General features: G+C 36.9%; 1 long non-coding RNA gene across 1 annotated transcript in view; it reads right to left on the minus strand.

The window, feature by feature from the left end:
• LYPLAL1-DT (LYPLAL1 divergent transcript) overlaps positions 1 to 17902 on the minus strand; it is a 92816-nt gene that overhangs the window by 60350 nt on the left and 14564 nt on the right. Inside the window, exons 2-3 of the long non-coding RNA NR_038845.1 lie at positions 14798 to 14877; positions 8617 to 8709 (exon numbers count right to left, since the gene is read on the minus strand). This is a non-coding gene — a long non-coding RNA (LYPLAL1 divergent transcript). The remainder of the gene's footprint in view (positions 1 to 8616; positions 8710 to 14797; positions 14878 to 17902) is intronic.

Consider the following 17902-nt stretch of genomic DNA (forward strand, 5'->3'; position numbering starts at 1 on the left):
CCCTGCTTGGAATTAATACAAAGGCAAGCCAACAGGGCAATATAGACAGCATCAGGAACAATAATGTCTCCACACATCTGGCTACATTCCATTCTCTCCTACTACTGCCTCTTTTCTATGTACACACTTCTAATTCCTATCTCACATCCCTCGTATACCCCAATCACATTGGTTTCCTTTTCTCTGTTTTACAAATAGTTGCCTTACTACTACTAACAGCTAATGGAATCAGAGCTTAATAAGTGTCAGTCGCTGTTTTAGCCAATTTGTATACATTGGCTCATTTGATCCTTATTTAAGCACTGTGCACTGGATGCTAATATTGGTCACACTATTAGCATCTGGTAGCCTGGCTGCAGAGCCTGTGATCATAACTGCTATGTCCCTCTACTTCTCAGCAGACCCTGCTACAGCGATGTGCATACCTCTGGTCTTGGCAAATTATTGGGGGGGTTTTCTCTGCTGGTTTTTATTTAGTCCTAGAATAGTGATTCTCTACTGCATGAAGGGAGCTTGAAGATTTCCTCTCTTCCCAGGGCCTGGGGTCACAAATGAATTCTATGGAGCTGTGACAACAGACTCAGGACCAGCGTGGATAATGCCATGGAGTCCCTGCCTCCCCTGTGATTACCCATTCCTTCAGTTCTCAAAGGCTGTGGAAGCATCTGAAGAACAAAAAGCACAGGTGTAAATTGCTGAATACCATTCAGGTGGCTAAAAAAAGCCATCACTGGTTGATGGGCAGATGTAAATTCAGGTGTCTACCTAAAAGCAGACTTAACCAAAGCTCATGCATGTATTCAATCTCAATTGCTACCACTAATATGTGTCAGATACTAGATCAGATGTTGATGTTCTCAGTGTCTCTGTCTGATTCCATAACAATCATCAATTCTTTTTTCTTTGATTCACCTTGTTTTATACACTCATTATTAATTAATTCAACTTTTACTACGTACCTATTGGGTAGCATCAGCTAATGTGCTTAGTGGGAGGATACAATGATAGTTAAAATAGAATCTCTGGTCTGCAGTTCCTCCTATCTTACTTAGGAATCATTGGCATGGTGCCCCTCACAATATTTTATATCCTTTCTTTATGGTAACTCAGGTGTTTTTGTTCATATAGGCCTACAAAAAGAAACTTCCTGGAGTCCCAAATCTCTGGTCATCAGGAAAGCCCTTTAATACTAAACTATAGCCAATACTTCCGTGGCTTACCAGTTTGAGTTTCCATGTCTCTGACTTTTTTATGGAATTCTACACTTAAAAAAAAATGCATTGGGGCAGGAAAGGGGATAGAGGGTATATGTAATATATATGTGTTAGTATTTGTCCCAAATAAGTTTCTAGCTGAATCAGTTTGAGAAGTTTTGAGAATCTGGCAAATGAGGTACTAATGTCTAATTTGTAAATTGTTGTGAAGATTAAATGAAATAATATGTAAAGTGTGCTTATATGAAATAGACATTAAAATTGCAGTAGAGGAGAGAGAGAAGGAGAGCAGAAGAATTTGACATGGGAATTTTTTTTTAGCAGTAAAAGTACTGTAATAATATAGTAACTTCCATGACTAATGCAGAACCAGGATGAGGACTTTCTTAAAGAAACAGTGGTTTTTGTTATTGTTTTTGTTGCTTTGTTTGTTGATGGTGGAGATCTTCTTAGTGAAGTACGAGAATCTATTCTGGATTTTTAAGTTCTTTAATTATATTCCTGCGTGGCTTTCCACGCTTTCTTAGCCTACATCAGAGGCCCCATATTACTGGGAAATTGCTCTGTGCTCATTGCCCTCCCAACTGCCTCATAGGAAGATAGTATTTTCTTTCTGCATCTGATTGCATTTTCTTTTATTTAAAAATATCTCTGAAGTAAGAGATAAGCCCATATCTTTTTGTTTAATTAAAAAAGATTGAGAGAGCCATTGGTGACAGCTAGATTGAGAAGATGCAAGATTTTTGGGTTTCAGAAGCCCAATCTTACATTACGTAAAGAGTTTTTGAGGCCAACAAACCACAATGAAAAGGGCAGGAAACATAAATATATTTTATCCAACTTTTAGGAAACTATACATAAGATGACCAGATACGAGTTCAGTATGAATCCAGCTCAGAATATGATAGGAATAATTAGAGGACTGACTTTGAAAGAAAGAAAAAAGCATTTTAATTTGGTTTTCTGAGGGCTTCTGGGAAGCCTACTGTAGGAAGATGAAATAGATTTAAGAAAGGGCTCAAGATTCAGCAATTGAAAATGTTTCAAGTTAAAACCAACTAGAACAAGGAAATTATAGGCCACTACACTAAAGTGGGAAAGAGACATAAAACTTTTATATGCAGAAATCCTCAAAAAATATAAAGAAATCTAGTAATGTGAACTTGGAGGTGCCATATGTAAAAATAACTAGAAGCAAGATAAGGGATTTTAGCTTTAGCGATGGGTGAAAGAAATGAGTGCCAAACCACAGGAAAAGTATTTTAGCTGAAAAAATAGGCTCTTGAAATATATTATCAGAATAAAGGAGCAAATGAAAAAGCTGTTCTTCTATCAAAATCAGAATTTGAAGATGGGAAGAAGAATTGACATGAGTAATAGACCCAGTGATTGTTACTTCCTGAAGAAGCAATGCCAAGAGAAAGGCAGCTGGCTAGCACTGGGAACCCACTTCCTGGAATAACTGGGAAAAGGCTTGAGAGTAGGATGATAGAAATTAAAACATCAATGGAAAGGCAGGCAAATGATAAGGGAAAATATACACCAGGTCTTAATAACATATCATTATTATTACACAATCTATAGCACACTATTTGACTACATCAAAATCTCTTGCTGTAAAGGGATCATATAAAAAGATCAATAAAACAACACTTTTAAACACTAAAGCAAACATATTCCACATGTTTTAGAAGAAATGAAGAAAAAATTAGTTAAGATGTAAGCTTATTTAGGTCTCTTCTGCCTGGTTGGATTAGTAAAAATTCAAAACAGAGGTAAACGTTATTTTTCTAAAGTAAGGTTGAGAATTTAAATTCAGAGGAGGGCAAGCAGTATGTATTGAAGATCTGGCAGTCTTCTGGTTAATTTTTTTAATGTGGATAGCTTTAAAGTATTTTTTTAACTTTTACTATTAGAATTAACTTTCTATAATATTAACTGTGTTTTGTCAAGTGCCCTCGTTGTGCTATATAAATACAGCATGGAGAAATACGAGTATACAACTTAAGATTTTTCAGCAATATTTATACCAATACATTTTTTGATAAACATAGACTATAGAATTATATATATGTAAATCTATAGATAGATGAGAAAATACAAATCTTCTTTACAGATATTAACTCATTTACATATATTAATATAAGTGGGTCCTTTACATATATTAACTCATTTATTCCTTTAAAAAAGCCTGTAAGGTAAATTAAATTATCGTCCTCATTATGTAAGGTGAGAATACAAAGACCTCAAGATTTGAGGAACTTGCCCAAGATCTCAGAGCCAGTTCCTTTTATCTGAGTCTAAGTTTTCTAGTGCCCATGCATGGGCTTTTTACCACTGTGTTATGCAACCATCACAAAAACAGGGAGGTAGATGTATACTTTTGAAATTATTGTTAAAAGTATAAAAAACACATATTGAGAACAGGGCAGGATGTACTTAATTCTGAGCAGTTGGAGGGAAGGTTAGGAACTTCTTATATGAAAGTTAAGAATTTGCTGAGATGGTAAGGTGGAAAAGGACATTCTTGCAGAGAGGTGTGAGAGATCATGCATTTGAGGAAGAGAGTGATGACAAATAAATGCTGCTGACAACACGAAGCAGAAGTATGTACAGTCACTAACTCTCATTAATTTATTTTCACTTCACTGCAGAGGAAGTAAATATTCATTTGCTAAATTCATCCTCCTTAATCTGAAGCCAAAAATATATTCCCCTCAAGTGAAGTAGACTTCCATATTAACTTTAAGAGATAATAACTAAGCAATTGATTGGTGTGCTGAAAGTAGATTAAATTTCATTAGGATAGCTAAAGTGACTGCCTCATCATTTCAAATTCCAAGTATTGTGATTCTACCAAAAAGCAAAATAGATGAAATGTTTCATGTAATTGATTGGTCAATCTAAACTATATAGATACTACTCCAAAAAACTATTTTTTCTCTTTTACATTCTATCTGTAGAATAAGTCTTCAAGATACTCTATCTTCCTAATAACAGAGCTCTCTTTATTACCATTAACATGTCTGTTTTTGCAATCTCGGTTTTTAAATTATTTGAGCGATTTTTGAAATACCACAATCTGGTCTATTTTTTTCCTGGAATCTTTATTTTATAAGAATCCAGCCAGGTGCAGTGGCTCAATCAGTAATCCCAGCACTTTGGGAGGCTGAGGCAGACAGACCACTTGAACCCAGGAGTTCAAGACCAGCCTGAGCAGCATGGCAAAACCCCATCTCTACAAAAACAAAACAAAACAAACAAACCAAAAAATTAGCCAGGCACGTCACCTGTAGTCCCAGCTACTCAGGAGGCTGAGGTGGAAGGATTACCTGACTCCAGAGGCTGAATCTGCAGTGAGCTGAGATCATGCCACTGTACTCCCTCCTGGGCTACAGAGTGAGACTCTGTCTCAAAAAAAAAAAAAAAGAAAGAAAGAAAGAAAAAAACAAAATATAGACAAATATAGAAAATAATATGATGAAATGGCCATATATTAAGACAGATTAGGCTATGAAAAATTTTTAGTTCTATCAGTTTCTCTCATACTTAAAATCATTGAAGTCTTTTTTAAAATTTTTGAAATGCTGAATCATATTCTCAATGAAATAGGTTTCTTGAGCTGCTTTGGAATTGCCTCTAAGAAAAAGTTAATCTTTAATCTCTTGGTGCATAATCTGTGTCCCAAGTTAACTAAATTAGACAATTGATTTTGAGGTTCACCAAATTTCATTTCTACTTCTCACTACTACCCCAATATTCTACCCCTACTTCACTCTTATTTGAATTCCTTGCATTTTTCCTGGAATAAAACTGTACCTTAATTTTGAAGCCATTCTTGTGACTCTGGTGTCTTCATTTAGTTCCTGCTATTGTTTCCACTACTTCCCAGCCTCCTATCCCCATTAAGAACCAAAGCTCTTTGAAGATTCAGCTCCTGTACTTACACTCACTGATGAGATCTCAGGTACTGATGCCAGACAAGCCAGAATCTGAGTTAGTCACGGTCTTTAGAGAGCCCTCAGTTCCTGATACACAGATAATTCGCCACAAATGCCTCTAAACACCTCCACAGGGGCACCAAATGATCTACTTTATAGTTGCCCACATACTGATAATAATAATAATAAACACACTGTCTGATTTCTCCACAGACTGGGAGCTCCAAGGCTCCGATCCTCCACTCATCAGAGCTGCTCATAGTACTGCAGTTGCTTTCTACCCTCCTACCACCCTTACACTTCAAGTTAACAGCTCCAACAATGAGGTTTCCATGACATAATCATCTCTCCAATAGGACTGGACTCAATCAGAACATATATTTCAAGGACCATAACTGCCTAGATGCCAACTAATGGCAGTGTCTTAGTTAGCTTGGATTGGTATAACAAAATACTGTAAACTGAGTGTCTCATAAACAACATAAATTTATTTTTCATAGTTCTAAAGGCTCAGAAAGTCTAAGATCAAGGCACTGGAAGATTTGGTGTCTGGTGAAGGCCTGCTTCCTGGTTCATAGACAGCTTGTTCTTGCTATGTTCTTACATGGCAGGAAGAGAGAGAAAAAGGTCTCTGGGGTCCCTTTTATAAAGGACATTAATATTAATAAGTGTTCCACCCTAATGACCTGAGTACCTCTCAAAGAGCCTACCTCTTAATACCATTACAATGGGGGTTAGGATTTCAACATATTAACTTTGTGATGGGGGCACAAACATTCAATCCACTGTATTCCACCTTAGCCCTCCAAAATTCATATCCTTCTTACATGCAATATACATTTATTCCATTCCAAGAGCCCCAAAGATCTTAACTCATTTCAGCATCAACTCTAGTCTAAAGTCCAAATTAGCATCTAAATATCATCTAAATTAGATAGGGGTGAAACTCAAGGTACAATTCATCCTAAGGCGAAATTCCTCTCCAGCTGTGCTGGTTATTTGCTTTCCAAATGCAATTGTGTGACAGGCATTGGGTAGACATTCCGATTTCCAAAGAGAAAAATAAGAAAGAAGAAAAAAGAGTGACAGATCTCAAGCAAGTCCAAAACCTAGCAAGCCAAGCTCCATGAAACCTTAAACCTCAAGAACAATCCTCTTTGGCTAAATGTTCTGCCTTCCAGACACACTGGGGTGGCAATGTCACCCGCACAGTTTGGCTGGGTCCTGCTTGCCTGGCTCTTTGCAGCAGCCTCACCCATGCCTTAGTTCTCTGTCAGGGAAGGGGTCCATTTTAAGCAGGGATCCTAAATTACCACAGCCCCAAAAAAGGCTCAGATCCAGGGAGTTGCCTCTATCAAATGCCATTGGCTGAAAGATATTGTCAGCCTAACATGTTGCAGTTTCCAAGAAAGATGAGGTAAGAAGGAAAATAATCTCTCCAGGACACCTGGAAAGTCTGAAAATGATAAACACCATGACAATTATATTTTTGTATGGAGGTGAGTGCCTCAGTGCATACACCTTACATAAAACTTCATGTTTCCTTCAGAAATATAGTTTGGTGAGATGCTTTTTGAGAGTTATCCTTAGGTATCTTCTGACACCTAAAGCTCAAGTTTCCTTTTCTTTTTTTTATCATTCACATGAACTATGGTTCTGAGTGATATATTGATAGTAGAAAACAAATAAGAAATTTTCTTCCCCGCTATGCTTTATACATTCACTTTTGCATAATATTCTTTAGTAAAATTAGAAGGAGTCACTGAAGGACCCTAAAATATCATAGGGTCTGACAATAACAAAATCTAATTAACCCAATTTTCTTTCGCTTGAAGCACTGTGAATTTTAAAAAGTTGGACTATGTTTAAGCATTTTATGTACAAGATAATTTCCATTTGTTTTTACAGTGAGAAAAATTTGTCTTCTGTAATATGCTAAGTTACATGAATATTAACTCTATGAATGTTTTCTTTGGGGAATAATAGACTTTTCCCCACTTTAGAAGAGCCACTTTAAAAAGAAATTCTATAATATTATTTATAATTAAACTATGTAGCAAGTAATCATATCTCTGAGTTTATGATAATTTAGCATAGTTTGAGTTAAAGTCTTCTATATTCCTTGAAGGCATGAGCCACATTTGATTTATTTATTCTTAAAAAATCTTCCTTGTTCCAAAACACCTATGGACAGTGCTTTAAACAATACTAAATTTTGATGAATAAATTAAAATAATGTATACACTTGAAATGACTTAAATTCAATATATTACATAACTTTGAGTTCACCATTTCACAATTTAGCTTATTTGTGATTGGTCCAAATTCCTTAATTTTTTTAGATATTTGAATTTTTTCTAACTATAGCATCTTTTGCTGTGATAAATCTGATCACTTCAGATTCATATAAAGAACTAGATTGGCAACTTCATTATTATATGTTACAATTATTTATGGATGTATCACATCACATAAAAATGCAAGTTTAAGGCAACTGAGAAAACACACTATTAAAAAAGAATAAACTGGAATAGATGCACCAGAAAATGTTAAACTATTTTGGTAGATTTCAGTTTTGCTAAATTCTTAAATATGTTTGGCCTAACACATTTCTCTTTAATTCCCTTAATATACCCTGTGGATTTTCACAGAAATTTGAACCATATGTTTCTGATTAATTTATACTTAACTCATCAACATGTTTGGTAAGAATGATTTGAAGCACAATGCCTCCTGAACAGTTTTGTGGGCTCTTTTATTTTAGTTAGTAAACAATTGGAACCTGAACCCAGAAATCTTGGGGCTTCATTTAATACTCAAATTCCATAAAGAATGAGGGAGTTCTTAACTGGATCAGGCACACTTTGCCTTTGACAATGCTTAGCTCCAAATCTTGCAGCTGGGAGGAATTATTCTGATAGTTCACTCTCTTTCTTGTCACTTTTATTTTAGAGGATATAAACCTTTGATGGTGCAAAACCTGTATGAGTCAGGACTAGCTGCCACCCATCAGTCCCAGTTGTAAATTAAGAAAATTAAGCAGTGCAATTCAGTAATCTCCCATTACCTACCTACTATAATTTGTTTATGTGTTTATGTAGAGAGAGAAAGAAAAGATGGAAATTTTTACCTGGCTCTCTCTGGGGTCTGAGTGAACAAGTATAAGGTTATCTGTTTAATGATTATTTCCACAAGCTAATTATTCCTTCACTTTCCAGTCTAACTCCAGCATCTTTGGTGAAGCATGGGATCAATCCATTCCCTTTCTCTACCAACTCAGGGAAACATACACTAAAGATCTGTGTCTGAGTGTTTCATGAAAGATATTTGGTCCCAGCATCATGAATGATGGCTAGTTGTGCTCTGTCATCTATCGTCCGGTGGGGCTTTATTTTTCCCATTAAAATGTCTGACATCTCATTTTTTTTTATTTTTTTATTTTTGGAAATTAGCAACCATACCTTCTGTTCCTCCTCCTTCCTCACAGGCATTCCTCCAACAGCTGTCAGATCCCAGGTTCCTTGCGGTTTCTGTTTATGAAGACCCTTAACACTCTGTAAAACATTAGAGATAATCTGCTTATATTGATATCTACTTTTCCCTCCACCCACTCCCACTACCTCCTTCATTACCAGACTCCAAGCCTTCCCTGTTACTTCTAAGGACTCCTTTGGAAACAAGATCTTAGGTCTAAAGGCATTCCTTTCCTTCTGCTACCCTTTGAGAATTCGAAATAAAAATCCTCTGGCTTTGAGATATGTGTAATTTCTGTAGAAGAAACTTAAAAACAGAAGATTAGTGTACTGAAATAAGAATAATCCGAAGGAAATTCCTAAGGAGAAAAACAGCTCTCTTTCATCAGCTCTCCCAGGAATTAAAGAGAGATGAAACAGATATGTGTGGTATTTAGAGAAAAAAATGCACTTTTCAATACACAGCATAAAATCTACCTTCTGAGTTTCACAAATAAAGGTCTTAATCTTTTCTTTTATCAAACTAGAGCGGTATAACTTAACAACAACAACAAAACTACAGTGAAAAAAATGTGCAGAAATGAGTCCTGAGCTAGTCATTTAATAAACATTCCTGGACCAAGGTGTTATGGAAATAAGGCACTAGGGATGGAAGTATGTTACCCCTTGCTTATAATCATTAAGGACTTTTTATTTCCCTGACATAAATGACATAAATCATTTTGCCCTATTAAGATAAAAGTCTGAGTGGCCTTGCTCCAAAGCAGGGAGATGAAAAAATTTCTACATCTTCTGTATACTATTTATTTTCAATTTCATCCTTTAAAAATTTATTTTCAAAATATATTTTATAATACGATTAATATACTAGTTAGTAGCACATGTAAACATTTTACACATAAGTACAAAGATGTTGGAAGGACTGGCTCAAAACATTTATTTTGTTTTACTAGTAGGGATGCATGATCATAAATATGTAATAGGTCCACTGACCTATTACGAAGAATAATGAATCAGTAATCCTGGATTTGAGACACTGCGACCTGTTACCACTCAGCTACTTGTCCTTACCCAGGTCACTTAGTTCTCTGAATTTCCATTTCAAGTTTTATAGTTAAATTAGATACTGCCTGAGGTCCCAATCAGGAAAAGTGCCAATCATCATTTTTACACATGATTGTTAAAATCAGCAATTTCACTTTCTTTTTGTTGTTGTTGTTGTTGTTGAGACAGAGTCTTATTCTGTTGCCCAGGCTGGAGTGCAGTGGTGTGATCTCAGCTCACTGCAACCTCCACTTCCCATGCTCAAGTGATTCTCCTACCTCAGCCTCCCGAGTAGCTGGGACTACAGGTGCACACCACCATACCAGGCTCATTTTTGTATTTTTAGTAGAGATGGGGTTTCACCATGTCGGCCAGGCTGGTCTCAAACTCCTGACCTCAAGTGATCTACCTGCATCAGCCTCCCAAAGTGCTGGGATTATAGGCATGAGCTACTGAACCCAGCCAGTAATTTCACTTCCACAGTGACTTGCAAATGAACAGGTTGCAAAGGTAAATAAGACTTTCATCAAAGAGCTGAGGATCTAATAATGGTGGAAGAAGAAATTAAAAGGTTTATTCTATTTTAATTGTTACAATGAGGCTGCCAGAAACAGCACCATCCTACTGTACATGACTGTTGGATGTGACGCTTTCTCCTTCTCAGGATTTCCCTGGTGGTGGGTTTAGGAACGGAATCATTTATGCACACAGGGAAGGAAAATTCTTCATGGTCATACTTTGGGAGCAAATACTACTAACTCAATTGTTAAAGATGAAGTAAGAAAATAGTTGAGCTAATAGAGGGTCCGCTTTGATGGGTATTTCTAAGGCTTCCCTATTTACATTCTCACATTTCTAGTATAGAAAACTTTTTAGATCTTATGGTTTATTCTAGGTCCATTTTATTAAAATATTACGATTCATTTTCTTAAATCAAGATTCTCGAATGTGTCCCTTGTGAGATTAGGGAGTCCATTCTTATGTTAACCCAACTGATCAAGTTTTGCCCTCTAATCACACTGCTTAGCTATAGAATATACGTAGTGCATTTCATTCATTTCCTTACAAAATTAAAAAATATGTGTGATGTATCTTCCTCACTATATTTTTGGTTTCTTGAAAACAAAGACAGTGTTTAATTCATTTTGGAGCCTCCAAAGCTCCAGGCATGATATTTCTTGCCCATTGCAGGTATTCAGAACAAGTATCAAATGAATGAATGAATGAGCAAGAGGAGAGCGGTACCTTACCAAAATCTAGAAAAGCTTTCTCAAAATGCGATCTGTGGACTATTTGCATCATTCACTCACTTGAGACCCTGTTTCAAATGCACTTTATTGGGCCCCGCTTCAAACATATCAAATCCTTCACATATTGATAAGCTCACCAAGAGATTCTGTGCATGTAAAGTTTGGAATCACCAATTAAGAGAATTATCAGTACTTTACCCCTTTTATTTCCAGTGAATGTCAGGGACATGAATGATGGCTTCTATACAAAGATTTCTTGAGACCTAAACTTTTCCTTTGCTTCTGAACTTTGTTCAGCATCCCATCTGTACCCCTAAGGCTGCATGTTTGTGGGAATTTAACAGCAGAGATTTTATTGTAGTGGTGGAGGATTAAGGGCTGTTTGGAAGTTGTGACTAATAATGGCTACAATGTATTGAGTACTTATGCTATATTTTGTTTTATAGATATATAAATATGTACTTTATATAATCTCACATTAATTCCTATTTATTAGGTAATGTTATTAGGTCCATAATAAGACTTATGATAAGAAAATTGGAGCAGGAAAAAAAGGAAAGTAACTTGCCTGTGATCACACAGTAAGTGGTAGAGCCATTCAAATCCTGGCAATGTGGTTCTAAAATCCACATGTTTAACCACTATGCAAAACTGCCTAACAAGAAAAGATAGTAAAGAAAAAACCTCTAGGGAGTTCAAGGGCGAAAGAAATCATATGCTGCCACAAGAAGACTTCCAACTGAGAAACTAATGATGTGCTTCTGTAGCTGTGAGTTACTGTAAGCAACTGTGAAGATATGATTTCGTAGCATTTTCCCAAATAACGGTTGCTTAGTTGCTCTCACACCCTCTACACTCCAGTCACAATTGTACTTATTGGAGCAGGTGGCTCTGGTAAATCTTAGTATGAGCTGTCACTCAGGGAATCAGGGTTCTCAGTGTGGGGGAAGGAAAGTGTGAGAGTAATGGGAATGTTCTCAAAATAGAAACTTTGTTCTCAGTAGTCAGGGGCACAGGTAAATTAAGAAGGGAGCTAAGACCCAGAACTACCTGTGTTACTGAGATGGGACACACAATTCAAATGATCAAGCATGTATTAAATGCCTGCTATATGCCAGGTATAACGCTAGTCTCCAGTGGAAGAATTTCCTCTGAATATGGAAGAGTATCTAGCAGGGCAAGAAGTAATGGAATAAGGCAAATTCCAGTCACTAGATCTGGTGAACAAACACAGGAAGGGTCACAAAGTAGGTCATTCTTCTGAGAGATCACCTTCAAACACTGATTAAAGTTTCATGGCACACCTAAAACCAAGTATTCTCTTTCCCTCAACAAGGTAGGATTTTTTTTCAAAGTAAATCCTAAAAATAAAAGCGAAAAAAGGGAAAGTTCTTTGAAAAAATATGCAACAAAAAGTACTTTTCAGCGTGAATATTTCAGTACAACTCAGCATGCATTTAAAATGAAAGGTGAATTATTCGCTATCAAGAAACTTCAAAGCTCTTCAATTGAATTTGCTTGGCAGCAAAATAATATGATGGGTGGTCTGTTCAGGCACTTGTCCAAGTCCAATCACATTACATTTTCATAGTATCAACATTTAAAAGCCCCATCCTTGTTGCATCAACAGCAATGCATGGGAACCTCTCCCGAACACGTGGCAACCAGCACATTATACAAATATGTTTGCTCCACAAGCCAGACTGCCGTTTTCCAGAAAATACAAACTCAGCAAATGAATGAAGGATTTGCATGTTAACAACTCAGAGCTCTACCATTTGAAATATATCACATGGACCTGAGGAGTGAGGATTCATCTCATTAACAGTCAGTTGACTTTGCAAAAGCATGGACATCATTTTCCAGCTCAAATGTCAGAGAAGAAGCTAAAATGCAAGTTTTCTGACTTTGAAATCAGTTCATTTTCCATTTCATAGGATGCTTCTCGGTTCAATTTTCCATATCACTGAGCCTAGGTTAGAGTTACTGTATATTCACCAACTTTTTTCCCTCTCTCCTAATATATAAGGAGTAGCTTATGGGGCTGACAACATAGATTTCAGTCCACAACTGTTACTAACTCAATGTACCTAAGCAAGTCACTTGACTTCTCTGAAATACAGTTTTTTTAGCCTTTAACTGTATTGATTAAATTGAATGGGTTTTAAAAGGATTGTATAAAAATGTTTGCAAATTGTAAGCACTATGCAAATATGTTAGTATTGATAATAATAATCACCTTCCTGAGGTAAAGGAAGATATACATGCTCTTGTTCCTCATATAGAGCAGTAATAATAATTGAATATTGTTGAACACTTGCTATGTATCAGGCACCGTTCTAAATGTTGTACTTCTATAAACTGATTTAATCTTTACCACAAGCCTATGAAGTAGTTATTATTATCATTCCCAATCTACATATGAAACATCCGAGGTTCAGAGAGGCAACTAGAACAACTGAGATTCCAACCCCAGAGCCCCACTTCATGGCCACTACTGCATAAGGCATATGATATAATGAATGGCCATTGGACCAGTAATCAGCCAACCTTTAATCTGTTTCTGGTTCAGGGACCTCCTAGCCATAGCCTAGAACCAAGCAGATGCTAAGGAAACACTGGACTCATTGATGAGCCACATGTTCTTTCACCAATCTCTGAGTCCCAGTTCACCTTTCCACCTTGCTTATACATGTGACACTCCATGAGAAAACACGTACTTCACAAGTGTTAGGTGCTATTAGCATATTTGTTAAGAAAAACAGTGACACTTGAATGAGTGGCTAAACTGGTGTGCTTCCAAGGTCTACATTCATTTTACCCCTTTTTTGGTCTAGTCTAGTATGTGGTGAATTCAGTTTAGGTATCAGGGTAGAACTTGCTGACTGTATTTCCACATATAGAAATGTCAGGGGATCTTGGAAGACATATGCAAGGCCAAGGATCTTGCTGCAGGTCCATCTGGTGAATCCTCTATGGAACATGCAAGGCCTGAGGGACGGCTCTATTGCCAGACCACTTCCTGTGTTATATCCTGAAGCCTCCACATTTTTGGCCACTCACCCTTGCAGGCCCTCCCCTCTACAGCTGTTCTGGCTGATAACTTTCAAAACATAAAATAATACAAGCCTAACACATGATTACTACTACTTTTAATGGGTTGAGCATTGTCCTCCCAAAATTCATGTTTACCCAGAACTTCAGAAAGTCACTTTATTTGGAAATAGGGTGTTTTCACATGTTATTAGTTAAGGATTTCAGGTGTAAATCACCCTGGATTTAGGGTGGGCACTAAATCCAATGCCTGGTGTTCTTATGAAGAAAGGAGAGAGAGATTTGGGCACAGAGACACAGATGCAGAAGAACCGGAGATACAGAGAACACCGTGCAAAGCTAGAGGTAGAGACTGGAGTGATATTACTACAGACCAAAGAACACAAGGGATTGCCAGGAGCCACCAGAAGCTGGAAGAAGCAAGGAAGAATTTTTCCCTGGAACCTTAGGAGGGAGGATGGCCCTGCTGACATTTTGCTTTCAGACTTCCAGCCTCCAGAACTGTGAGAGAATAATTTTTTCTCTTTTTAAGCCACCCGAGTTTTGGTGATTTGATACAGCCCTAGAAAACAAATCGACTATTACTACTCCACTACTATTACTCTTTATTCTAGAAATAATTAGAAAAGGTATTTCAATGACTCTCCGAATCCCTGAAGAATCAGAGATTCAAAATATAAAACTAAAGTAAAAATTCTGAAAATCACACTCTACGTGGGGAAAATTATGAATCTTACTCCACACGAGGAAAACACAAGCCAATACTGGCAACATTTATTCTCACTTTTGATGGTCCAATAATTAGGGCAAAATTTACTTACAGCAAGAGGCTTTTTTCCCTTGCGTAGCATACTTCCACGTAATTATAAAACCGCATGCTCTTAAAAGACACGTTCTAGTTCTATAAAAATAAAGTTAAAGGAAATATTTTAGAAAAAAATTAATTCCAAAAATATAATAAAATGCTGTCATTTTTCTACTATGAAACAACCAATTCAAGAAATATTTTCATTACTCTTAGTTACTACAGATCTATCTAGCCCAATTTTAAATCTATTACACAGTAAAGTTCATTTACAATATTCATTAATCTACTTTTTTCCACAACCTAAGTAACTAGGAACCATCAAAGATTATTTTTAAAAAAATATTTGAACTAGGCCCACTTACACACTTTCAAATATTTTGTCCAAGATTATTACCCAAATGCAACATAGAGGAGACCCCAAATTTTAACTTATTAGGGGAAAAAAAGCCTGTAAAAATTTTATGCTTTGCAATCAAAGGTAGTGCTCCCAGCATGGTGCCTGCTACCCATATGCAGCTGTGACTGAAAAAAAATCAAGGTGTGATTAAATAGTCTTTTTCATATTATCCTCCATTAAAAAAGTTTTTTAACTGGAACACAGACATCATTAACAGAGTCTGTTCACCAGAAGTATTTTCTCCAAATTACCAAATGAGGCACCCAACTTCTGATTTCTTCACACCAGGTTGATATTTGCTACTGACAATCTCTCAGCAGTGTACTGCTCTGTCACACATCAGTTTTAATAAAATAAAACAACATGACGATAACTCTGTTTATGAGCTTTTGACATCCTGTGGATTCATAAGAAATTAATTTTTTCATGGCACAAACAAGAAGCATCAGAGCAGATCTTCTGATTCGCCGGCTCCCTCTCTCCACCCCCACCCTCTCCTAATTTCCCCACATCTCTTAATAGAAAGATAGTTTTCTGGTGTCTCAGCCCGGAAACGTTAGAACCACTTTAACTCTTTCTTCTGTATCTCCCCTGTATACAATTTGTCATGAAATCCTGTCATCTCTTAGCTGGGGCTGTCTAGATTCATGCCACTGTTCCCAAGCTCAGATCCCTCCATCTCCTGTATTCTGAGCCTCTTGATGACACCCTGAAGGTATAGACTCCTCTTCTCTGAAATCACCTCCACAGTCTCCATCCAGGTAAATGTGTCAAAAACATCACTTTCTTCATGGCATCCTGCTGCTTAACATTTCGTTATGGTTTCCAATTGTCCACTAGACAAAAGCTCTCATCCCGCAATAGGTTTTCAAACCCTTCTGTAATTAGCTCAGTCTATCAGTTTAAAAAAGAAATATAGATATCTTTCTCTTTTAAATTTCAGCACACAGCTACTGTTCCAGACAGATCACTGCTTCCTTTCTAGCTGGACCTCCCCTTTCTCTGGGCCTCATGAGCGCTATTCAAGCCTGTCCCCATTTCTTTGACTTTGGACACAGAATATCCTTGCTATTCCCCACCCTTAAAACCCTAACAGTCTAGGGCATTCTCACACTACCATACTCTGCATCATAATATCTTACCTCTGAAATAATTAACTTTCAATGTTTTAATATGTCATTTCTTGTCCTTTCATCTCTCTTATTCCTTCATTCCCACTAAATTGGCTCAGAGACCCCATTGAAGATCTACACACTTTATTGCCTCATCATTTTTCCTGTCTGTTTGCCCTTTCTGGCTTTAATTCTCTTACTATTTAAACCATACAGTACTACATCCTCGCCAGTCTCATTAATACCTCCACCCCACCTTGACTTCCTGCCTTGCTATTTCCAAAAACAGATCAATACGTTGTTTATTTCTTCTTTTTTTTTTCCCAGAAGCTATTGGTACAAATTTGATGACAATGTTGATTAGCTCCTTTAAATGTTCTGTTTGTATTTACAGTGAATTAGCAATTATTCCCTATTCTTACTCAGTTCTCTTTTCCTTTAAACCTCTATGTTTTTAAGCTTCTAATCTGTTTTCTATTTCTTTTATTCTCAGCAAATGGCCATTGCAGGGTGTAATCTATTCTCACATTCAGATTTACCTCTATTTCTTGACCCATTCTTCCCTTTCTAGTGTTAGAGGCAGCACAGCCCTGCTCTTCCAGGTTCTGGCTCCCTTCCCCTTTCATCTTTGAGTTCCTGCACATGATTGTTCTGTTTATTCTTCTCCTTTGCCTTCTTTTGTCAGTTTATAATAAGATAGCATCATCCACATATTTTAAAATACCTTTTTTTCCAGCCCTGTCTGTTCCTTGGCTTTACAAGTTAACTATTTAAAGGAATAGACTACACTCGCTGTGTACACTTTCTCATTCCAGATTCCCAACTCGAGTCACTGCAATCTGACCCTGAGTCCCACATTTCTACTGAACTTGCTCTCAGAAACTTTTCTGGTCACCTCTTCCTTACCTGCTAAATCCTATGGATTCATTTCATCCTTCTATAGCACCCCACAGTTGTTTACCTACATCTCAAAACAACTGTCTCCATTGCTTTCATGACATTCCACTATATTTCCTTCTACTTTCATGGTTCCTCCTGAGAGGTTTTCACTAATTTGTCTTCTTTGATCTAGCTTTTAAATGTGGGTTTAAAAAAATGATTTCTAAGTTATCTTTTCTTCTCCTACAAATTTTCTCCCCAAATGATTTTTCAATTCCTGTAGTTTTCTCTGATTCCTATATGCTAATGACTCTCAAAATTTATTTCTATCCCCAAACTGAGCTTTAGACCAAAATTCCCAGCTGTCACCAAATTCCCATTAACACCTCAAACCCACCGAAAGTTAAACTAATTATCTTCATTCTACACTTGCTTCTTCGTCTGTATTCTTTATACTTGTTAATATCTTCACCAGAACACTTTAAAATAGCCATTTTAGATTATTTCCTATACCTCATCCCCAAGTCAAATGGATAACAAAGTCCTATACCATTCAACCTTTCCAATCTGCCTTCTCTCCCATCCTTCTCAGTCTATTGAAGGGCTGGGTGTGGTGGCTCACGCTTATCATCCCAGCACTTTGGGAGGCTGAGGTGGGTGGATCACCCGAGGTCGGGAGTTTGAGATTAGCCTGGCCAACATGGTGAGACCCCCATCTCTAATAAAAATA

The sequence above is a fragment of the Homo sapiens genome, chromosome 1 (genome assembly GCF_000001405.40).
Source record: "Homo sapiens chromosome 1, GRCh38.p14 Primary Assembly".
Taxonomy (NCBI): Eukaryota; Metazoa; Chordata; class Mammalia; order Primates; family Hominidae; genus Homo; species Homo sapiens.